The sequence below is a fragment of the Homo sapiens genome, chromosome X, assembly GCF_000001405.40.
Source record: "Homo sapiens chromosome X, GRCh38.p14 Primary Assembly".
NCBI classification, from domain to species: domain Eukaryota; kingdom Metazoa; phylum Chordata; class Mammalia; order Primates; family Hominidae; genus Homo; species Homo sapiens.
Window position 1 is genome coordinate 58,307,923 of NC_000023.11, and position 26,153 is coordinate 58,334,075.

The window sequence follows — 26,153 nt, forward strand, 5'->3', positions numbered from 1 at the left end:
TAACCCCAGTTAAAACCTAGAAAGAAGCTATCTGGGAAACTGCTTTGCCTCACAGAGGTAAAACTTTCTTTTGATTCAGCAGGCTGGAAACAATTTTTTTTTTTTGTAGAATCTGTGAAGGGACATTTGGGATCCCAGTGTGGGCTACAGTAAAAAACAAAATATCCACAAATAAAAACAGGAAAGAAGCTATCTGTGAAACTGCTGTGTGATGTGTGCATTCATCTCACAGAGTTAAACTTTCCTTTTGATTCAGCAGGTTGGAAAAATTCTTTTTGTAGCATCTATGAAGAAACATTTGGGAGTACATTGAGGCCTATAGTGAAAACCAGAATATGCTCAGACAAAAACTAGACACAAGCTATCTGCGAAACTGCTATGCAATGTGTGCATTTATTTCACAGGGTTAAACCATCTTTTGATTCAGCAGGTTGGAAACACTCTTTTGGTAGGATCTGCAAAAGGACATTTAGGAGCCCATTGAGGCCTATAGTGAAAAGCCGAATATCCACAGATAAAAACTAGATAGAAACTGTCTGCAAAATTGCTGTGATGTGTGCATTCGTCTCACAGTTAAACCTTTCTTTTGATTTTGCAGGTTGGAGACAATTTTGTGTAGAATCTGCCAAAGGAAAGTTGGGAGTCCACTGAGGCCTATGGTGAAATATTGAATATCCCCAAATCTGTGAAAGTGCTTTGTGATGTGTGAATTCATCACACAGAGTTTATCTTTTCTTTTGATGCAGCAGGTTGGAAATACTATTTTATAGAAACTGCAAAAAGACAATTGGGATCCCTTAGAGGCTTATAGTGAAAAACAAGATATCCCAAGATAAAAACTAGAAAGAAGCTGTCTGTGAAACCACTTTGCAATGTGTGCATTCATTGCACAGAGTTAAACCTTTCTTTTGATTCATCAGGTTGGAAAAACTCTTTTTGTAGAATTTTCGAACAGATATTTTGTAGCCCATTGAGGCCTACACTGTAAAAACCGAATATCCCCAGATAAAAAGCAAAAAGAAGCTATTTGTAAAACTACTTTGCAATGTGTGCATTCATCTCTCAGGGTTAAACTTTTTTTTTCGATGCAGCACTTTGACAACACTCTTCTTATAGAACCTGCAAAAGGATATTTAGGACCCCATTGAGGCTCATAGTTAAAAACTGTTTATCCCCAGATGCAATCTGCAAGGAAGCTATCTGTGAAACAACTTTGTGCTGTGTGCATTTATCTCACATATGTAAACCTTTCTTTTGATTCAGCAGGTTGGGAACACTAATTTTGCAAAATCTGCAAAAATACATTTTGCTGTCCATTGAGGCCTACAGTGAAAAACTGAGTATCCCCAGATAAAAACTACAAAGAAGCTATCTGTGAAACTGCTTTGCAATGTGTGCATTCACCACACACTGTTAAACCTTTCTTTTGATTCATCAGGTTGGGAAAACTCTTTTTATAGAATCTTCAAAGGGACATTTGGGAGCCCATTGAGGCCCATAGTGAAAAATCGAATATACACAGATAAAAACTAAAAAGAAGATATCTATGAAACTGCTTTGCAAAGCGTGCATTCATCTCACAGAGTTAAAGCTTTCTTTTGATTCAGCAAGCTGGAAACACTGTTTTCATAGAATCTGCAAAGAAACATTTGGGAGCCCATTAAGGCCTATAGTGAAAAACCAAATATCCCCAGATAGAAAGTAGAAAGCAGCTATCTGTGAAACCGCTTTGCAATGTGTGCATTTATCTCAGAGCGTTTATCCTTTCTTTTGATTCAGCAGCTTGGAAACACTATTTTATAGAAACTGCAGAAAGACATTTGGAATCCCATAGAGGCTTATAGTGAAAAACAAATATCCCCAGATAAAAACCAGAAAGAAGCTATATGTGAAATCACTTTGCGATCTGTGCATTTGACAGAGGTAAAAATTAGTTTTGATTCAGTAGGTTGGAAACACTCCTATTATACAATCTGCAAAGGAACATTTCGGAGCCCATTGAGGCCTATATCGAAAAAAAGAATATCCCCAGATGAAAGCTACAAAGAAGCTAACTGTGAAACTGCTTTGCAGTCTGTGCATTCACTACACAGCATTAAACTTTTCTTTTGATTCAGCAGTTTGGAAACACTCTTTTGGTAGAATCTGCAAAGGGACATTTGGGAGCCCGTAGAAGCCCATAGAGAAAAATTGAATATTGTCAGAAAGTATCTATCTGTAAAATCACTTTGTAATGTTTGCATTAATGTCATCAAGTAAAACCTTTCTTTTGATTCAGAAGATTGGAAACCTTTTTTTGTAGAATGCGTGAAGGGATATTTGGAGCTCATTGAATCCTGTGGTGAAAAAACGAATATCCCCAGATAAAAGCTGGAAAGAAGCTATATGTAAAACTGCATTGTGGTGTTCGCGTTCATCTAACAGGGTTAAGCCTGCCTTTTGGTTCAGCAGGTTGTAAACACTGTTTTTGTAGAATCCGGAAAGGAACATTTGGGAGCTTTTTGAGACCTATGGTGAAAAACCAAATATCCCCAGTTAAATTAAAAGGAAGCTGTCTGTGAAACTGCTTTACAATGTGTGCATGAATTCAACAGAGTTAAACCTTACTTTTGTTTCAGCAGGTTAGAAGCATTTTTCTTGTAGGATCTGTGAAAAAAAATTTGGGAGACCATTGAGGTTTACAGTGACAAACAGAATATCCCCAGATAAAAACTAGAAAGAAGCTATCTGTGAAACCACTTTGTGATGTATGCATTCATCTCACAGATTTAAACCTTTCTTTGATTCAGTGGGTTGGAAACACTCTCTTTGTAGGATCTGTGGTGAGACATGTGAGAGCCCTTTGAGGCCTATAGTGAAAATCCAAATATCCCCAGATAAAAACAAGAAAGAAGCTATCTCTGAAACCATTTTGTGATGTGTGCCTTCATTTTATATTTAAAGTTTTCTTTTGTTTGAGGCTTATATTAAAAAAAGAATATCCCAGCATAAAAGCTAGAAAGAACATATCTGTGAAAAGCCTTAATGATGTGTGCATTTGTCTCACAGAGTTAAACAATTCTCTTGATTTAGCAGGTTGGAAACACTCTTCTCTAGAATCTGCGAAGGAACATTTTGGAGCCCATTGTGGCCTATAGTGCAAAACCGAATATCCCCAAATGAAAAGTAGAGTGATGCTATCTGTGAAACCACTTTGTGTTGTATGCATTTAACTCACGTAGTCAAATTTTCTTTGGATTCAGCAGTTTGGAAACACTTTTTTTTGTAGAATCTGTGAAGGGATATTTGGGAGTCCATTGAGGCTTATAGTGAAGAACCAAATATCCCTGGATAAAAACTAGAAAGAAGCTATCTATCTGAGAAACAGCTTTGGTATGTGTGCATTCATCCCACAGAGATAAAGTTTCTTTTGATTCAGCAGGTTGGAAACACTTTTTTTTTCGAATCTACTAAGCGTCTTTGGGAGCCCATTGACTCCTAAAGTTAAAATCTGCATAACCCTGGTAAGAACTAGAAAGAAGCTATGTGTGAAACTGCTTTGCCATATGTGCATTCATCTCACAGAGTTAAACAATTCTTTTGATTCAGCAAGTTGGAAACACTCTTTTTGTACAATCTGCAAAGGGATATTTGGGAACCCATTGAGGCCTAGAGTGCAAAATGATATATCCCAATATAAAAAATAGAAACAATTTATCTGTGAAACAGCTTTGCTCTGTGTGAGTTTATCTAACACAGGTAAACATGACTTTTGATTCAGCAGTTTGGAAAATCTCTTTTTTTTAGAGTCAACGAAGAAACATTTGGGAGGCCTTTGAAGCCTGTAGTGAAAAACTGAATATCCCCTGATAAAAACTAAAAAGAAGTTATTTGTAAAACCACTTTGTGATATTTGCATTCATTGCAAAAAATTGAAGTTTTCTATTGATGCAGCAGGTTAGATACACTCTTTCTGTAGAATACACAAAGGCATATTTTGGAGCCCATTTAGACCAGTAGTCAAAAACAGAATATCGCCAGATAAACAATAGAAAGAAGCTACCTGTGGTATCACTTTGTGACATATGCATTCATCTGACAAAGTTAAAACATGCTTTTTATTCAGCAGGTTGGAAACACTCTTTTTCTGCAAAAGAACATTTGGGAGCCCACTGAGGGATATAGAGAAATACAGAATATCCCCAGATAAAAACTAGAAGGAAGCTATCTGTAAAGCCAGTTTGTGATATGTATGTTCATCTCACAGATTTAAACCTTTGCTTTGATTCTGCAGTTTGGAAACACTTATTGTAGGATCTGTGCAGGGATATTTGGGAGCCCATTGGGGCCTAGAGTGAAAAACCAAACATCCCCAGATAAAAACTAAAAAGAAGCTATCTGTCAAACCACATTGTGATGTGTGCATTCATCTCAAAGAGTTAAAATTTCATTTGATTTGGCAGTTTGGAAACAGTCTTCTTTGAGATCTGTGAAGAGACATGTGGGAGCCCATTGAGGCCTATAGTGAAAAGCCAAATATCCCCAGATAAAAACTAGAAAGAAGCGATCTATGAAACTGCATTGCTATGAATGCATTCACCTCACAGAGGTAAAAATTATTTTGAGTCAATCTGTTGGAAACACTCCTTTGGTACAATCTGCGAAGGGACATTTGGGAGCCCATTGAGGCCTATAGTGAAAAAAATAATATATGCACATGAAAACAAGAAAAAAGCTATCTGTGAAATCATTATGCAGTGTGTGCATTCATCTCACAGAGTTAAAACTTTGTTTGATTCAGCCTTTTGGAAACAATTTTTTTTGTGTGTAGAATATGTGAAGGGATATTTGGGTGCCCATCCAGGCCTAAATTGAAAAACGAAAACTCCAATGAAAAAAACTAGGAAGAAGCTATCTGTAAAACCGCCTTGCAATATGTGAATTCATCTCACAGGGCTAAACCTTTCTTTTGATTCAGCACACTGGAAACACTCTTTTTGTAAAATCTGCAAAGGGATATTTGGGAGCCCATTTGTGCCTATAGTTAAAAATTGAATATTCCAAGATAAAAACTAGAAAGAAGGTGTCTGTGAAACAGCTTTGCAATGTGTGCATTCAACTCACAGAGTCAAACCTTGTTTTGATTCGGCAGATTGAAAACGATCTTCTTGTACAATCTGGGAAGGGACTTTTAGGAACCACTTTGGGGCTTAACGAGAAAATCTGAACATCCCCAGATAAAAACTAGAAAGAAGATATATGTGAAACCATGTAGTGATGTGTGCATTCATCTCTCATAGATAAAAATTTATTTTGATTCAGCAGCTTGAAAACACTTTTTTGTAGAATCTGCTAAGGGACATTTGAAAACCAATTGTGATCTATATTGAAAAATCGAATATCCTGAGAGAAAAACTTGATAGAAGTTACCTGTGAAACTGCTTTGTGAGGTATGCATTCATCCCACAGAATTAAACGTTTCTTTTGATTCCACAGGTGAGAAACACTCTTTTTGTAGAATCTGTGAAGGGACATTTGGGATCCCAGTGATGCCTATAATGAAAAAGTGAATATCTCCCCATAAAAACTGGAACGAAGCTATCTGTAAAACTCCTCTGCCATGTGTGCATTCACTTCAAATGGTTAAACCTTTCTTTTGATTCGGCAGTTGGAAATACTCTTTTGTAGGATCTGCGAAGGGACATTTGGAATCCCATTGAGGCCTACTGTGAAAAAACGAATATCCCCAGATAAAATCTAGAAATAAGCTATCTTTGAAACCACTTTGTGATGCATGAATTCGTCTCACAGAGTTAAGATTTTCTTTTGATTCAGCAGGTTGGAAACACTTTGTTGTATGATCTGCAAAGTGATATTTGGGAGCCCATTGAGTCCTACAGTGCAAAACCAAATATCCCCATATAAAAACCAGAAGGAAGCAATCTGTGAAACCGCTTTGCACTGTGCACATTCATCTCACAGAGTTAAACCTTTCTTTTGATTCAGTAGGCTGGAAACACTCTTTTTTTAGAATCTACAAATGCACATTTGAAAGCCCACTGAGGACTATAGTGAAAATTTTAATATCCTAAGATAAAAGTTGAAAGAAGCTATCTTTGAAAATGCTTAGTGATGTGCGCATTCAACTCACAAAGTTAAACCTTTCTTTTGATTCAGCAACTTGGTAACACTTTTTTTTGTGAAATCTGCAAAGGGACATTTGGGAGCCCAGCAAGGCCTATAGTGAAAAACAGAATATCCTCAGATAAAAAGTAGAAAGAAGATATCTCTGAAACCACTTTGTGATGTGAGCATTCAACTCACAGAGTTAAACGTTTCTTTTGATTCAGCATGTTGGAAACACTCTTTTTGTAGAATCTGCAAAGCAGCATATGGGACACTAATGAGGCCCATAGTGAAAAATAAAATATCACCAGATAAAAACTAGAAAGAATCTATCTGTGAAACTGCTTTGCAAAATGTGCATTCATCTCACAGATTTAAAACTTTCTGTTGATTCAGCAGGTAGGAAACACAAGTTTTGTAGGATCTGCAAAGGGAGACTTCAGAGCCCTTTGAGGCCCATAGTGAAAAACCGAATATCCCCATATAAAAACTAGAAGGAAGTTATCTGTGAAGCCCCTTTGCAATGAGTGCATTTTTCTCAAGGTTGAAACCTTTCTTTTGATTCAGCAGGTTGGAAAACTTCTTTTTGTAAAATCTTCAAAGGCACATTTGGGAGCCCACTGAGGCAGGCTTGTAGTGAAAAACAAAACATCCCCAGATAAAAACTAGAAAGAAGCAATGGGTGAAACTTCTTTACAATGCAGGCACATATCTCTAAGGGTGGAACATTTCTTTTGATTCAGCAGGTTGGAAACACTCTTTTTGTAGAACTTATGAAGGGACACATGGGAGCCCATTTAGGCCAATAGTGACAAACAAAATATCCCCAAGTAAAAACTAGAAAGAAGTTATCTCTGAAACTGCTTCATGACGTGTGGTTTCATCTCAAAAAGTTAGGCCTTTCTTTTCATTCAGCATGTTGGAAACACTCTTTTTGTAGGATCTGTGAAGGACCATTTGGAAGCCCATTGAGGCCTATAGTGAAAAACCAAATATCACTGATAAAAACTAGAAAGAAGCTATGTGTGAATCTGCTTTGCAATGCAGGCACACCTCTCACAGGGTGAAACCTTTCTTTTGATTCAGCATGTTGGAAAAACTCTTATTGTAGAATCTATGCAGGGACATATGAGAGCCCATTGAGGCCTACAGTGAAAAAAAAGAATATCCCCAGATAAAGGCTATAAAGAAGCTATCTGTGAAACCGCTTTTTGATGTGTGAATTCATCTCACAGAGTTAAACCTTCTTTTTGATTCGGCAGGTTGGAAACTCATTTTTTGTAGAACCAGAGGATGGATATATGTCAGCACCTGAGGCCTATAGTGAAAAATTGAATATCCCTGGATAAAACAAGAAATATTCTATGTCTGAAACCACTTTGCAATAGGAGGATTCATCTCATAGAGTAAAAACTTGTTTTATTCAGCACATTGGAATTACTCTTTTTTTGGATCTCTGAAGGGACGATTTGGAGCTCATTTAGGTCTATAGGAAAAAACAGAATATCTCCAGGTGAAAACTAGAAAAAAGCTATCTGTGAAACCGCTTTGTGATGTGTGCATTCATCTCACAATATTAAACTCTATTTTTAATTCAGCAGGTTGGAAACACTCTTTTCGAAGGATCTGTGAAGGAACATTTAGGAGCCCATTGAGGCATACAGTGAAAAACTGAATATCCCCAAATAAAAACTAGATAAAAGCTATCTCTAAAACTGCATTGCAATGTGTGCATATCTCTCACAGAGTTAAACGTTTCTTTTGATTCAACACGTTGGAAACACTCTTTTTGTAGGATCTGTGAAGGGACATTTGGAAGCCCATTGAGGCCTACAGTGAAAAAACAAATATCCCTAGATAAAATCTAGAAATAAGCTACCTGCGAGTCCACTTTGCAATGTGTGAATTCATCTCACACAGTTAAAATTTTTTTCTTTTGATTCAGCAGGTTGGAAACACTCTTTTTGTAGAATCCGTGAACAAACATTTGGGAGCCCATTGAGGCCTACAGCAAAAAGCAGAATATCCCCAGATAAAAGCTAGAAAGAGCTATCTGTGAAACTGCTTTGTGATGTGTGTATACATCTCACAGAAGTAAACCTTCCTTTTGATTCAGCAGGTTGGAAACACTCTTTTTGTAGAATCTGCAAAGGAACATTTGGTTGACCCTTGAGGCCTATAGGCCTCAGATGAATTATCCCCAGATGAAAACTAGAAAGAAGCCATGATGTGTGAAACACTTTTGCCATGCATGCATTCATCTCAAAGGATTAAATCTTTCTTTGATTCAGCAGGTTGAAAACACTCTTTTAGTCAAATTTGTGAAGAGACATATTGGAGCCCATTGAGGCCTATAGTGAAAAACATAATATCTTCAGATTAAAAGGTGAAAGCAGCTGTCTGTGAAACCACTTTATGATATGTGCATTCATTTCACAGAGTTTAACCTTTCTTTTGATTCAACAGGTGGGAAATACTCTTTATGTACAATCTGCAAATAAACAGCTGGGAGCTCATTGAGGTCTATAGTGAAAAACCGAATATCCCCATATAAAAATTAGAAAGAAGCAATTTGTGAAACTGCTTTGCTATGTGTGATTTCATCTCACAGAGGTGAAGAGTTCTTTCGATTCACTAGGTTGGAAACACTCTTTTTGTAGGATCTGCATAGGAATATTTGGGAGCCCAATGACGCCAATAGTGAAAAAACAAATATCTTCTGATAAAATCTAGAAAGAAGCTTTCTGTGAAACTGCTTTGCTATGTGTGTATGTGACTCACAAAGCTGAAGCCTTATTTTGATTCAGCAGTTAGGAAACTCTCTTTTTGCAGGATTGGCAAAGGGGCATTTGGGATCCCATTGAGGCCTGTAGTGGAAAACAATATATTCCCAGATAAAAACTAGAAAGAAGCTATCTATGAAACTGCATTCTGTTGTGAGCATTCTTTTCACAGAGTTAAACATTTATTTTGATTCAGCATGATGTAAACACTCTTTTTGTAGAATTTGTGAAGGGAAATTTGGGAGCCCTTTTAGACCTATAGTGAAAAACTGAATATCGTGAGACCAAAACTAGAAAGAACGTATCTGTGAAACAGCATTGGAAAGTATGTATTCATCTCACAGAGTTAAACATTTCTTTTGATTCAAAATGTTGGAACACTACTTTTGTAGAATCTGCGAAGGAACATCTGGGTGACCCTTGGGGCCTACAGTGAAAAAACGAATATCCCCAGATAAAAACTAGAAAGAAGATATCTGTGAAACCACTATGCAATGTGTGCATTCATCTCACAGGGTTAAACCTTTGTTAGATTCAGCAGGTTGGAAAAACTCTTTTTGTTGGGTCTGTGAAGAGACATACTGGAGCCCATTGCAGCCTATATTGAAAAACAGAATATCTTCAGATAAAAACTAGAAAGAAGATATCTGTAAAACTGCTTTGCAATGTGTGCATTCATCTCACAGATTTAAACTTTCTTTTGATTCAGCAGGTTGGAAACACTCTTTTTGTAGAATCTGTGAATGAACATTTGGGAGCCTATTGAAGCCTAGAGAGTAAAATGGAATATCTTCATACGAAAATTAGAAAGAAACTATTTGTGAAACTGCATGGCTAAGGGTGCTTTCCTGTCACAGAGGTAAACAGTTCTTTGATTCAGCAGTTAGGAAACACTCTTTTTGCAGGATTGGCAAAGGGACATTATGGAGCCTATTGAGGCCTATAGTGAAAAACCAAATATTCCCATATAAAAATTACAAAGAAGGTATTTTTGAAACTGCTTGGCTATGTGTGCTTTCATCTCACAGAAGTAAACAGTTCTTTTGATTCAGCAGTTTGGAAACTCTCTTTTTGCAGTATAGGTGAAGGGACATTAGGGAGTCTACTGAGGCTTTTAGTGAAAAGCAACATATCCCCAGAAAAAAACTAGGAAGAAGCTACCTATGAAACTGCTTTCTGTTGTGGGCATTGATTTTGCAGAGTTAAACCATTCTTTTGATTCAACAGGATGGAATCACTCTTTTTCTAGAATCTGTTAAAAGACATTTGGTAGCCCTTTGAGACCGATAATGAAAAACTGAATATCCACAGAAAAAAACTAGAAAAAAGCTATCTGTGAAGCCACTTTGGATGTGTGCATTCATCTCACAAGGATAAACTTTTCTGTTGATTCAGCAGGTTGAAAACACTTTTTCTGTAAAATCTGTGAGGGGACATTTGGGAGCCCATTGAAACCTAGTGTGAAAAACCAAATCTCCCCAGAGAAAAACTAGAAGGAAGCTAACTGTGAAACTGCTTTGTGATGTGTGTGTTCAACTCACAGAATTAAACCTATATTTTGATTAAGCAGATTGGGAACACTCTTTATGTAGTACCTGCGAAGGGACATTTGGGAGCCCATTGGGGCCTATAGTAAAAAACTGAATATCCCCAAATAAAAACTAAAAAGAAGCTATATGTATAACAGCTTTGAGATGTGGGCATTCATCTTGCAGAGTTCAATTTTCCTTTTGATTCAGCAGGTTGGAAAAACTCTTTTTGTAGGATCTGCATAGGGACACTTTGTAGCCCATTGAGACCTAAATAAAAAGCTGAATATCCCCAGAAAAAAAAAAAAACTAGAAAGAAGCTATCTGTGAAACTGCCTTGGGATGTGTGCATTTATCTCAGAGAGATAAAACTTTCTTTTAATTCAACAGATTGAAAACATTCTTTTTGTAGGATCTGTGAAAAAACATTTGGGAGCCCATTGAGGCCTATAGTGAAAAACCAAATATACTCAGATTAAAACTAGAAAGAAGAATGTGTGAAACTTTTTTGAGGAGTGTCCATTTATCTCACAGTGTTAAACATTTCTTTTCACTCAGGAGGTTGGAAATACTCTTTTTGTAAAATCTGTGATGGGACATTCCAGATCCCATTGAGGCTTATAGTGAAAAACAAATAATCTCCTGATAAAAACTAGAAAGAAGCTATCTGTGAAACTGTTCTGTGATGGGCACATTCATCTCACAGACTTAAACCTTTGTATTGATTTAGCAGGTTGGAAACACTATTTTTTAGGCTCTGAGAAGGGACATTGGAGACCCCATTGAGGCCTATAATGAAAAACCATATATACCCAGATAAAAACTAGAAAGAAGCTATCTGTGAAACTGCTTTGCAAAGTGTGCATTCACCTCACAGAGGTAAACCTTCCTTTGATTCAGCAAGTTGGAAACACTCTTATTGTAGTATCTGCAAAGTGACATTTGGATCCTAATGAGGCATATAGACGAAAATGGAATATTTCCAGATAAAAACTAGAAATAAGCTATCTGTGAAACCACTTTGTGATGTGGGCATTAATCTCACAGAGTTAAACCTTTCTTTTGATTCAGCAGGTTGGAAACACTCTTTTGTAGAATCTGCAAAAGGACATTTAGGAGCACATTGAGGCCTAGGGTAAAAAACCGAATATTTCTAGATATAAGCTAGAAAGAAGCAATCTGTGAAACTGCTTTACTATGTGTGTGATTATCTCACAAATTTAAACCTTTCTTTTGATTCAGCAGTTTGGAAACACTCTCTTCGTAGGATCTGCAAAGAGATATTTGGGAGCACATTGAGGCCTATATTGAAAAGCAGAATATCCCCACAGAAAAAGTAAAAATAAGCTATCTATGAAACTGCTTTGTGATGTGTGCATTTATTTCACAGAGTTAAACTTGTCTTTTGATTCAGTAGGTTGGAAACACTCTTTTTGTAGAATCTGCAAACAGATATTTGGGAGCCCATTGAGGCCTACAGTGAAAAACTGAATATCGCCAGATAAAATCTAGAAAGAAGCTATCTGTGAAACCTCTTTGTGATGTGGGCATACATCTCAAAGAGTTAAACTTTTCTTTTGATTCAGCAAGTTGTAAACACTCTTTTTGTAGGATCTGCAAAGGGATATTTGGGAGCCCATTTAGGCCTATAGTGAAGAGCCGACTATCCCAAGATATACACTAAAAATAAGTTATCTATGAAACTGCTTTGCAGTGTTTGTATTCATCTCAGAGAGTTAAACCTTTGTTTTTACTTGGCATTTTGGAAACTCTCCTTTTGTATGGTCTGCGATGGGACATTTGGGAGCCCATTGAGGCTTATAGTGAAAAACTGAAAATCCGCAGATAAAAACTAGAAAGAAGATATTGGTGAAACTTCTTCACAATGGTTGCATTCATTTCACAGTCTTAAAGCTTTCTATTGATTTAGCAGGTTGGAAACACTATTTTTTAGTATCTGTGAAGAGACATTTGGGACTCTATTGAGGCCTATGATGAAAGACTTTATATAGCAAGATAAAAACTAGAAAGAAGCAATCTGTGAAACTGCTTTGCAATGTGTGTGTTCATCTCACAGAGTTAATCCTTCCTTTGATTCAGCAAGTTGGAAACAGTCTTACTGTAGAATCTGCAAAGTGACTTTGGGGAGCCTATTGAGGACTGTAGTGAAAAACAAAATAACCCCAGATAAAAACTAGAAAGAAGCTATTTATGAAACTGCTTTGCGATGTGGGCATTAATCTCACAGAGTTAAACCATTCTTTTGATTCAGCAGGTTGGAAACACTCTTTTGTAGAATCTGCAAAGGGACATTTAGGAGCAAATTGAGGCCTAAAGTGAAACACTGAATATCTCTAGACAAAAACTAGAAGGAAGCTATCTGTGAAACTGCTCTTCTATGTGTGCTTTTACCTCACAGATTTAAACTTTCCTTTGATTCATCAAGTTGGAAACACTCTTACTGTAGAATCTGCAAAGTGACATTTGGGAGCCCTTTGAGGCCTTTAGGTAAAACCGAATATCCCCAGATAAAAACTAGAAAGAAGATATCTGTGAAACCACTTTGCGACGTGGGCATAGATCTCAAAGAATTAAACTTTTCTTTTGATTCAACAGGTTGCAAACATTCTTTTTGTAGAATCTGTGAAGGGACTTTTGGGAGCCTATTGAGGCCTATAGTGAAAAACCTGCTATCTCCAGGTAAACACTAAAAAGAAGCTATCTATGAAACTGCATTGCAGTGTGTGGATCCATCTCACAGAGTTAAACTTTTCTTTTGATTTAGCAGGTTGAGAACACTCTTTTGTATGATCTGCAATGGGGAATTTGGGAGCTCATTCAGGCCTATAGTGAAAAACTGAATATCTTGAGATAAAAACTAGAAAGAACCTATGTGTGAAAATGCTTTGCAATTTGTGCATTCTTCTCACAGAGTTAAACATTTCCTTTCATAGAATCGGTGAGGGTACATTTCAGAGTTCATCGTGGCCTATAGTGAAAAACTGAAAGGCTCCAGATTAAAACTAAAAAGAAGGTATCTCTGAATTCACACTTCCATGTGTGCATTCATCTCACAGGCTTAAAATTTTCTTTTGATTCAGCAGGTTGGAAACACTCTTGTTGTAGAATCTGTGAAGAGACATTTGGGAGCCAATTGAGGCCTGTAGTGAAAAATCAATTATCCCCAGAAAAAAACTAGATTGAAGGTATCTGTGAAACTGCTTTGCAATGTGTGCATGTTTCTCACTGAGTTCAACCTTTCTTTTATTTCAACAGTTTGGACACACTCTTTTTCTACACTCTTCTAAGAAACATTTGGGAGCCCATTGAGGTCTACAGTGAAAAAGCAAATATCCCCAGATTAAAACTAAAATAAGCTATCTGTGAAACTGCTTTGTGATGTGTGCTTTCATCTGGCAGTTTTCAACCTTTCTTATTATTCAGCAGGTGGGAAACACGCTTTTTGTAGAATCTGCAAAGGAACATTTTGGAGCCCTTTGAAGTGTATAGGGAAAAATCAAGTACCTTCAGATAAAAACTAGAAAGAAGCTATCTGTGAAACCACTTTGTGACGTGTGGATTCATCTCACAGAGTTCAATTTTTCTTTTGATTCACCACGTTGGAAACACCCTTTTTGTAGAATCTTTGAAGGGATATTTGGGAGCCTGTTGAGGCCTGTAGTGAAGAACTGAATATCCCCAGTTAAAAACTGGAAAGAAGCTATCTATGAAACTGCTTTGCAATGTGTGGATTCATCTCAGAGATTTAAACTTTTGTTTTTATTCAGCAGGTTGAAAACACTCCTTTTGTAGAATCTGTGAAGAAATATTTGGAAGCTTATTGAGGCCTAAAGTGAAAAACAAAATATCCCGAGAAAAAACTAGGAAGAGGGTATCTGTGAAACTGCTTTGTGATGTGTGCATTCATCACAAAGAGTTAAACCTTTCATTCAATTCAGCATGTTGGAAACACTCTTTTTGTAGAATCTGTGAAGGGACATTTGGGAGCCCTTTGAGGACTATAGTGAATAACTGAATATCCTCAGATAAGATCCAGAAACAAGCTATCTGTGAAACCACTTTGTGATGTTTGCATTCATCTCATATAGTTAAACCTTTCATTTCATTCAGCAGGTTGGAGAAACTCTTTTTGTAGAATTTGCGAAGGGACATTTTGGAGCCTATTGAGGCCTGTAGTAAAAAACTGAATATCCGCTTATAAAAACTAGAAAGAAGAAATCTGTCAAACTGCTTTGTGATGTGTGCATTACTCTCACAGATTTAAACTGTTCTTTTGATTCAACAGTAGGAAACACACTTTCTGTAGGATTTGTGAAGGGTCTTTTGGGAGCCCATTGATTCCTGTAGTGAAAAATCTAATATCCCCAGGTAAAAGCTCAAAAGAAGTAAACTGTGAAACTGCTTTGCAATTGGTGCATTCATTTAATAGAGTTATTCTTTACTTTTGATTCAGCAGGCTGGAAACACTCTTTTTGAAAAATCTGCAAAGTGACATTTGGGAGCCCACTGAGGCCAATAGTGAAAAATCCAAAACCCTCAGATAAGAACCAGAAGCAAGCTATCTGTGAAACTGCTTTGCAATGTGGACATTCATCTCATAAAGTTAAACCTTTCTTTTGATTTGACAGGTTGGAAAAACTCTTTTTGTAGATTTAGAAAAGGGACCTTTGTGAGCCTATTGGGGCTTATAGTGAAAAACCAAATATCTCCAGGTTAAAACTAGAAAGAAGGTACCTGTGAATCCGCTTTGTGATGAGTACATTCATCTCACAGAGTTAAACTTCTCTTTTGATTCAGCAGGTTGGAAAAAGTCTTCTAGTAGAATCCGCAAAGGAACATTTGGGAGCCCCTTGAGGCCTATAGTCAAAAAATGAATATCTCCATATAAAAACTAGAAAGTAGCTATCTGAGAAACCACTTTGCAATGGATGCATTCATCTCAAAGATTTAAACCTTTCTTTTGATTCAATAGGTTGTAAACACTTTTTTTGTAAAATCCGCGAAGGGACATTTGGGATTCCATTGAAGCCTGTAGTGAAAAACCAAATATCCTCAGATAAAAACAATAAAGAAGCTACCTGTGAAACTACTTTGTGAGGTGTGCATTCCTCTCACAGAGTTAAATCTTTTTTTAGATTCAGCAGGTGGGAACAGTCTTTTTGTAGAATATGTGAAGGAACAATTTGGAGCCCATTGAGACCTACAGTGAAAAAAAAGATACCCCCAGAATAAAACTAGAAAGAATGTATCTGTGAGACGGGTTTTTGATGGGTGCATTCATCTTGCAGAGTTACATCTTTCTTTTTATTCAGCAGGTTGGAAACACTCTTCTTGCAGAATCTGCGAAGGGATATTTGGAAGCCCATTGAGGCCAATAGTGTAAAAACAAATATCCCAAGACAAAAACTAGAAAGAACCTATCTTTCAAACCACTTTGGGATTTGTGCATTCATCTCACAGAGTTCAACGTTTTTTTTTTCATTTGGCAGGTTGGAAAGGCACTTTTTGAGGAATCTGCAGAGAAATATTTTGGAGCTTGTTGAAGCCTATAGTGAAAAACCAAATATCCCAAAATAAAAACCAGAAAGAAGCTATCTGTGAAACTGCTTTGTGATGTGTGCATTCATTTCAGAGAGTTAAACAGTCCTTTTAACTCAGTAGGTTGGAAACACTCTTTTTGTAGTATCTGAGAAGGGACATTTTGGAGCCCATTGAGACCTATCGTGAAAAACAGATTGTCCCCAGATAAAAATTAAAAAGAAGCTATCTGTGAAATGGCTTTGTGATGTGTGGATTCACTTTAAAGTATTAAACATTTCTTCTGATCCAGCAGTTTGGAAACACTCTTCTTATAGGATCCGTGAAGAAACATTTGGGAGTCCATTGAAGCCAATAGTGAAAAACAGAATATCCCCACATAAAAAATAGAAGGAAGCTATCTGTGAAATAGCTTTGCTATGGGTGAATACATCTCACAGAGTGAAACCATTGTTTGGTTTCAGCAGGTTGAAAACACTCTTTTTGTATGATGTATGTAGGGAGACTTTGTAGCCCACTGAGGCCTATAGTGAAAAACGAAATATCCCCAGATAAAAACTAGAAAGAATCTATTTGCAAAACCATTTTGTGATGTGTGCACCCATCTCACAGATTTAAACATTTGTTTTGAGTCAGCAGGTTGGAAACACTTTTTGTAAAACCTGCGGAAAAATATTTGGGAGCCTATTGAGGCCTAAAGTTAAAACTAAATATCCCCAGAAAAAAAACTAGAAAGAAGCTCTCTGTTTAACTACTTTGTGATGCATGGATTCGGCTCTCAGAGTTAAACCTTGTTTTGATTCAGCAAGTTGGAAACACTCTTTTTGTAGAATCCATGAAGGGACATTTGGAAGCCCACTGAGGACTAATGAAAAACTGAATATTTTCAGATAAAAACTAGAAAGAAGCTATTTGTGAAACCATTTTGGGAAGCATGCATTCATCTCACAGAGTTAAAACTTTCCTTTGATTAATCAAGTTGGATACACTCTGTTTGTAAGAGCTGTGAAGGGACATTTGGGGTGCCATTGAGGCCTATAGTGAAAAACCGAATATCCCTGTATAAAAACTAGAAAGACACTATCTGTCAAACCACTTTGCAATAAGTGCACTCATCCCACAGAGTTAAATATTTATTTGATTCAGCAGGTTGGAAACAATATTTTTGTAGGATCTGTGAAGGGAAATTGGGAAGCCCATTGAGGCTGATAGTAAATACTGAATATCCCCAGATAAAACCAGAAAGAAGATATCTACAAAAATGCTTTGCAATGTATGCATTCATCTCACAGATTTAAACCTTTGTTTTGATTCAGCTGCTTGAAAACACCCATTTTGTAGAATCAGCAAAGAAACATTTGGGAGCCCTTTGAGGCCTAAAGTGAAAAACCAAGTATCCACAAATAAAAATTATATGATTATCTCAATAGATGCCGAAAAGGCCTTTGACAAAATTCAACAACCCTTCATGCTAAAAACTCTCAATAAATTAGGTACTGATGGGACGTATCTCAAAATAATAAGACCTATCTATGACAAACCAACAGCCAATACCTTACTGAATGGACAAAAACTGGAAGCATCCCATTTGAAAACTGGCAGAAGACAGGGGTGCCCTCTCTCACCACTCCTATTCAACATAGTGTTGGAAGTTCTGGCCAGGGCAATCAGGCAGGAGTAGGAAATAAAGGGTATTCAATTAGGAAAAGAGGAAGTCAAATTGTTCCCGTTTGCAGATGACATGATTGTATACCTAGAAAACCCCACCATCTCAGCCCCAAATCTCCTTAAGCTGATAAGCAACTTCAGCAAAGTCTCAGGATACAAAATCAATGTGCAAAAATCACAAGCATTCTTATACACCAATAATAGACAAACAGAGAGCCAAATCATGAGTGAACTCCCATTCACAATTGCTTCAAAGAGAATAAAATACCTAGGAATCCAACTTAAAAGGGATGTGAAGGACCTCTTCAAGGAGAACTACAAACCACTGCTCAATGAAATAAAAGAGGATACAAACAAATGGAAGAACATTCCATGCTCATGGGTAGGAAGGATCAATATCATGAAAATGGCCATACTGCCCAAGGTAATTTATGGATTCAATACGATCCCCATCAAGCTACCAGTGGCTTTCTTCATAGAATTGGAAAAAACTACTTTAAAGTTCATATGGAACCAAAAAAGAGCCCACATCGCCAAGTCAATCCTGAGCCAAAAGAACAAAGCTGGAGGCATCATACTACCGGATTTCAAACTATATTACAAGGCAACAGTAACCAAAACAGCATGGTACTGGTACCAAAACAGAGATATAGACCAATGGAACAGAACACAGCTCTCAGAAATAATGCCCCATATATACAACCATCAGATCTTTGACAAACCTGACAAAAACAAGCAATGGGGAAAGGATTCCCTATTTAACAAATGGTGCTGGGAAAACTGTCTCGCCATATGTACAAAGCTGAAAGTGGATCCCTTCCTTACACCTTATACAAAAATTAATTCGAGATGGATGAAAGACTTAAATGTTAGACCTAAAACCATAAAAACCCTAGAAGAAAACCTAGGCAATACCATTCAGGACATAGGCATGGGCAAGGACTTCATGTCTAAAACACCAAAAGCAATGGCAACAAAAGCCAAAATTGACAAATGGGATCAAATTAAACTAAAGAGCTTCTGCACAGCAAAAGAAACTACCATCAGAGTGAACAGGCAACCTACAAAATGGGAAAAAATATTTGCAATATACTTATCTGACAAAGGGCTAACATCCAGAATCTACAATGAACTCCAACAAATTTACAGGAAAAAAACAAACAACCCCATCAAAAGTGGGCGAAGGATATGAACAGACACGTCTCAAAGGAAGACATTTATGCAGCCAAGAAACATGTGAAAAAATGCTCACCATCACTGGCCATCAGAGAAATGCAAATCAAAACCACAATGAGATACCATCTCACACCAGTTAGAATGGCAATCATTAAAAAGTCAGGAAACAACAGGTGTTGGAGAGGATGTGGAGAAATAGGAACACTTTTACACTGTTGGTGAGACTGTAAACTAGTTCAACCATTGTGGAAGTCAGTGTGGCCATTCCTCAGGGATCTAGAACTAGAAATACCATTTGACCCAGCCATCCCATTACTGGGTATATACCCAAAGGATTATAAATCACACTGCTATAAAGACACATGAACATGTATGTTTATTGTGGCACTATTCACAATAGCAAAGACTTGGATCCAACCCAAGTGTCCAACAATGATACACTGGATTAAGAAAATGTGGCACATATACACCATGGAATACTATGCAGCCACAAAAAATGATGATTTCATGTCTTTGTAGGGACCTGAATGAAGCTGGGAACCATCATTCTCAGCAAACTATCACAAGGACAAAAAACCAAACACCGCATGTTCTCACTCCTAGGAGGGAATTGAACAATGAGAACACATGGACACAGGAAGGGGAACATCACACACCAGGGCCTGTTGTGGGATGGGGGGAAGGGGAGGGATAGCATTTGGAGATATACCTAATGTTAAATGAAGAGTTACTGGGTGCAGCACACCAGCATGGCACATGTATACATATGTAACTAACCTGCACATTGTGCACATGTGCCTTAAAACTTGAAGTATAACAAAAAATAAAAAGCTGAAAAAAATAAAAAATAAAAAGTAGAAAAAAACTATCTATGAAACTGCTTTGCAAATTGTGCATTCATGGCATAAAATTAAACTGTTCTTTTGATTCAGGAGGTTGGAAACACTGTTTTTGTAAGATCTGTGAAGGGACATTTCATATCCCATGGAATCCTTTAGTGAAAAACTGAATATCCTTAGATAAAAGCTAGAACGAAGTTATCAGTGAAACTGCTTTCCAAAATGTGTGTTTATTTCACAGAGTTAAACCTTTTTTTTTGAATGAGCAGAATGGAAACACTCTTCAAGTAGAATCTGTGAAGGGACACTTTGGAGCCCATTGAGGCCTATAGTGTAAAACAAATATCCTCAGATAAAAACTAGAAATAAGCTATTTGTGAAACTGCTTTGCGATGTGTGCATTCATCTCACAGGGTTAAACCTTTGTTTTAATTCAAGAGGTTGGAAACCCTCTGTTTGTAGAACCTGCAAAGGGACATTTTGGAGTCCTTTGAGGCCTATAGTGAAAAAGCGAATATCCCCAGTTAAAAACTAGAAAGAAGTTATCTGTGAAATTGCTTTAAGATGTGTGCATTCATCTCACAGATTTAAACCTTTTTTTTGATTCAGCAGGTTGGAAACACTCTTTTTATAAGATCTGCAAAGACACATTTGGGAGTCCATTTAGGCTTATAGTGAAAAACCGAACATCTCCACATAAAAACTAGAAGGAAGGTATCTGTGAAATCGGTTTGCTATGTGTGATTAAATCTCACAGAGTTAAACTGTTGTTTTGTTTCAGCAGGTTGAAATGCTCTTTTTATAGGATCTGTGTAGGGACATTTGGGAGCCCATTGAGACCTACAGTGAAAAACCATATATCCCCTGATAAAAACTAGAAAGAAGCTAACTGTAAAACTACTTTGTGATGTGTACTCTCTTCTCACGGATAGCTTCTTTCTAATTTCTACCTGGGGATATTCAGTTTTTCATTATAGGCCACAATGGGATCCCAAATGTCCATTTGCAGATTCTAGAAAAAGAGTGTTTACAGTGTTTAAGCCTGTGTTTTGACTCACTCTTTTTGTAGAGTCTGTGGGAAAATATTTAGGAACCCATTGAGTCCTAATGTGAAAAACTGAATATCCCCAGATAAAAACTAGAAAGAAGCTATCTGTTTAACTACTTTGTGATGTCTCAATTCAGCTCTCAGAGTTACACCTTGCCTTGGATTCAGCAGATTGAAAGCATTCTTTTTGTAGAATCAGTGAAGGGACATTTCTGAGCCCTCTGAAACCTATAGTGAAAACTGAATATCCCATGATAAAAAGTAGAAAGAAGGTGTCTGTGAGACTGCTTTGTGATGTGTGGATTCAGCTCACAGAGTTAAACCTTTCTTTTGATTCAGCAGGTTGGAAACACTTTTTTTGTAGAATCTGAGAAAGGGCATTTGAAGGCACACTGGGGCTTAAAGGGCAAAACAGAATATCCCACGAAATAAGCTAGAAAGAAGCTATTGGTTAAACTGCTTTGTGATCTGTTGATACACCTCACAGAGTTCAACATTTATTATGATTCAGCAGGACAGGAGCACATTTTTTTATGGAAACTAAGAATGGACTTTTCTGAACCCAATGAGTCCTATAGTGAAAACTGAATATACCATGATAAAAGGTAGAAAGAGGCTATCTGTGGAACTGCTTTGTGATGTCTAAATTCAGCTGACAGAGTTAAACCTTTCTTCTGATTCAACAGATTGGACTTCTGTAGTATCTGGGAAGGGATATTTCTGAGCCTACTGAGGTTTATTGTGAAAACAGAGTGTCCTGTGAAAAGAACTAGAAAGAAGCTATCTGTGAAACTGCACTGTGTTCTGTGGATTCATGTAACAGAGTTAAACATTTGTTTTGTTTCAGCAGGTTAAAAGCAGTCTTTTAGTAGAATCTAAAAATGGCCTTTTCTGACCCACTGAGGCCTCTGGTGGAAATGAAATATCCACTCATAAAAACTAAAAATGGTCTATCTGTAAAACTGCTTTGTGATGTGCTGATTCAGCTCACAGAATTCAATACTTCTTTTGTTTCAGCAAATTGGAAGCACTCTTTTTGTGGAGTCTAAGAATCAACATTTCTGGACCCACTGAGGCATATAGTAAAAACAGAATATCCTGTGATAAAAACTACAAAGAATTTATCTGTGAAACTGCTTTGTGATGTGTGGGTTCAGCTAACAGAGGGTAAACCTTTCTTTCGATTCGACGGAAACAATCCTTTTGTAGAATCTGCGAATGAACATTTGGGATCCCATTGTGACCTATAACGAAAAACTGAATAGAAAAAATCCATTTGTGAAATGACTCTGTGATATATGGATTAAACACTGTTCAATGTCTTTTTTGATTCAGCAGGTTGGAGACACACTTTTTGAAGAATCTGTGAAGAGATACAGGGAAACCATTAAAGCTTGTAGTGCAAAACTGAATATCCACAGATAAAAATTAGAAAGAAACTATCCATCAAACTGCTTGATGGTGTGTGAACTCATCTCACATAGTTAAACTTCTCTTTGGATTCAGCATGTTGGAAACACTCTTTTTGTACTGCCTGCAAAAAGACACTTGGGAATTCTTTCAGACCTATAGTGACAAATTAAATATCTCCAGATAAAAACTAGAAGGAAGCTATCTCTGAAACCCCTTTTGACGTTTACATTCATCAGCAAAAGTTAAGTTTTTCTTTTCATTCAGCAGGATGGGAACAATGTTGTTGTAGAATCTGCAAAGGGATATTTGGGAGCCCTTTGAGGCCTACAGTGAAAAACAGAATATCCCCAGATAAAAACTAGAAAGAAGCAATCTGTGTATCAGCTTTGTGATGTGTGGATTCATCTCATAGAGTTAAACCTTTCTTTTAATTCTGCAGGTTTGAAAAACTCTTTTTGAAGTATCTGTGAAGGGACATATGGGAGCCAATTGAGGCCTAAGGTTAAAAAAACGAATATTACCAGATAAAAACTAGAAAGAAGCTTTCTGTGAAATGGCCTTGTGATGGGTGGATTCATCTCACAGTGTTAAACCTTTCTTTTGACTCAGCAGTTTGGAAACCTTCTTTCTGTAGAATCTGAGAAAGGACACTTGGGAACCCTTTGAGGCCTGTACTTAAAAACTGAATATCCCAAGATAAAAACTACAAAGAAGCCATCTGAAATTGCCTTGTGATGTGTGGATTCATCTCATGGACATAAACTTTTCTTTTAATTCAGCGGTTTGGAGACACTCTTTTTAAAAAATCTGTGAAGGGACATTTGGAGGCCCATTGACCCTACGGTGAAACATCAAAATCCAAAGAAAAAAAATTGGAAAAAAGCTATCTGTGAATTGGCATTGTGATGGGTGGATTCATCTCACAAAGGTAAACCTTCATTTTGATTCAGCAGGTTGGAATCGCTCTTTTTGTAGAATATGCAAAGGGACATTTTTGAGCCCATTGAGTCCTAAGGTGAAAAAGTGAATATCCCCAAATAAAAACTAGAAAGAAGCTATCTGTGAAACTCCCTTGTGATATTTAGATTCATCTCACAGAGTTAAACCTTTCTTTTGATTCAACAGGTTGGAAATTCTCTTTTTGTAGAATCAGCAAAGGGACAGTTGAGAGCACATATAGGTCTATGGTGAAAAAACGAATATCTCCAGATGAAAACTAGAAAGAAGCTATCTGTGAAACTTCTTTGTGATGTGTGGATTTATATCTGAGTTAACCTTTTCTTTAGATTCAGCAGGTTGGAAAAACTTTTTTTTTGTAGAATCTGCAGAGGGGCATTTAGAATCCCTTTGATACCTACGGTAAAAAAACAAATATCCCCAGATAAAATATAAAAGGAAGTTATCTGTGAAGCTTCCTAGTGATGTGTGGATTAGTCTCACAAAGCAAAACTTTCCTTTTGATTCAGCAGGTTGGAAACATTCATTTTGCAGAATCTATGATGAAACATTTGTGAGAGATTTGAGGCCTACAGTGAAAAACTGAATATCCCTGAATGATAACAACAAGAAGGCTATCTGTGAAACCTTTTTGAGAAGTGTGGATTCACCTCACAGAGTTAAAGCTTTCTTTTGATTCAGCAGGTTGGAAACTCTCTTTGTATACTCAGTGAAAACATATATTGAGCCCATTGAAGCCTATTGTAAAAAAAACAAATATCCCCTGATAAAAACTGGAAAGAAGCTATCTGTGACACAACACTGCAAAGTTTGCATTCATCTCACAGATTTAAACTTTCTTTGGATTCAACAGGTTAGAAACACTTCTTTTGTTGAATCTGCAAAGGCACATTTGGGAGCCCATTGAAGCGTTTGTTGAAAAATGGAATATCCCCATATAAAACCCACAGAGAAAACATTTGTGAAATTGCTTTGTGATATGTGGATTCATCTTACAGAGTTAAAACTTTTATTGATTCAGCAGGTTGAAAGCACCCTTGTTGTGCAATCATCTGCAAGGGACAGTTTGTAGCCCAATGACTTCTATGGTGAAAAACTGAATATGCCCAGATAAACGCTAGAAAGAAGCGATCTGTGAAACTGTGATATGTGCATTCATCTCAGAGAGTTAAAACTTTCTTTTGATTCAGCAGGTTTAAAATATATTTTTTTATAGAATCTGCTGAGGAATATTTGATAGCCGTTTGAGGCCTATACTGAAAAACTGAATATTTCTAGATAAAAACTATAAAGAAGCCATTAGTGAAAAAGCTTTGTAATATGCGGATTTATCTCACAGATTTATACCTTTTTTTGATTCAGAAATTTGGAAACACTCTTCTTGTAGAATCTGTGAAGAGAAGTTGGGGAGCTCACTGAGGCCTACGATGAAAAATCAAATATCCCCTTTGATTTAGCAGGTAGGAAACACACTTTATGTAGAATATGTAGAGGAATATTTGGGAGTCCACTGATGTATATGGTGAAAAACAGAATATCTTTTTTGATTCAGCAGGTTGGAAATAGTTTTTATAGCATTTCAGAAGGGATATTTGGGAACCCATTTAGGCCAATAGTGAAATACCGAATGTAACCCTTTTCACCATAGGCCTCAATGTGCTCCCAAATATCCCTTTGCAGATTCTACAAAAAAAAGTGTTTCCAAACTGCTGAAGGAAAAGAAAGATTTAACTCTGTGAGATGACTGCACACAGCACAAAGCGATCTCTTAGATAGCTCCCTTCAAGTTTTTATCCTGGGATATTCGCTTTTTCACCATTGGCCTAAATGAGCTCCCAAATATCCACCTGCACAAAGCACACACACAGTGTTTCCAAGCTGCTGAATCCAAAGAAAGGTTTAACTCTATGAGAAGAACGCGTACACTACAAAGCAGTTTCTCAGAAAGATTTTTCTGGTTTTTATGTGAAGATATTTTCTTTTTCACCATAGGCCTCAATGAGATCCCCAAAATCCCTTTGCATATTCTACAAAAACCTTGTTTCCAAACTGTTGAATGAACAGAAAAGTCTAACTCTGTGAGATAAATACACATACCACAAAGCAGTTTCTCAGATAGCTTCCTTCTAATTATTATCCTGGGATATTTTCTTTTTCACAATTGACCTCAATGAGCTCCAAAATGTCCATTCAGAGAATGGACAAAAATGGTTTTTCCAAACAGCTGAATCCAAAGAAATTTTTAACTATATGAGGTGAATGCACACATCACAAGTCAGTTTCTCAGATAACTTCCTTCTACTTTTTATCCTGGGATATTTGCATTTTCACCATTCACCATGATAAGCCCCAAAATGTCCCTTTGCAGAATGGACAAAAATAGTGTTTCCAAAGTGCTGAATCCAAAGTAATGTTTGACTCTGTGAGAAGAATGCACACATCACAAAGCAGTTCCTCAGAAATCTTGTTTCTAGTTTTTATCTGAAGATATTTCATTTTTCACCACAGGCCTCAATGCGCTCCCAAATATCCCTTTGCAGATTCTGCTGCTGAATGAAAAGGAAGGTTTATATCTGCGAGATGAATGGACACATCATAAAGCATTTTCGCAGACAGCTTCCTTCTAGTTTGTATCCTGAGATATTCACTTCTTTGCCATTGGCCTCAATGAGCTCCCAAATGTCCATTTGGAGCAGGGACAAAAACAGTGTTTCAAACCTGCTGAATCCTAGGAAAGTTTTAACTCTGTGAGATGAATGCACGCATCACAAAGCACTTCCTCAGAAAACTTCAAATTTTTATATGAAGATATTTCCTTTTTCACCATGGGTCACAAAGTGCTCCCAAATATCCCTTCACAGATTCTAGAAAAACAGTGTTACAAAACTGCTGAGTGAAAAGAAAGCTTTAATTCTGCAAGATGAATTCATGCATCACAAAGAAGTTTCTCAGATATCTTCAATCTAGCTTTCATCCTGGGATATTCACTTTTTTGCCATTGGCTTCAATGACCTCCCAAATGTCCACCTACAGAATGGAAAAAAACAATGTTTCCAAACTGCTGAATTGAAAGAAA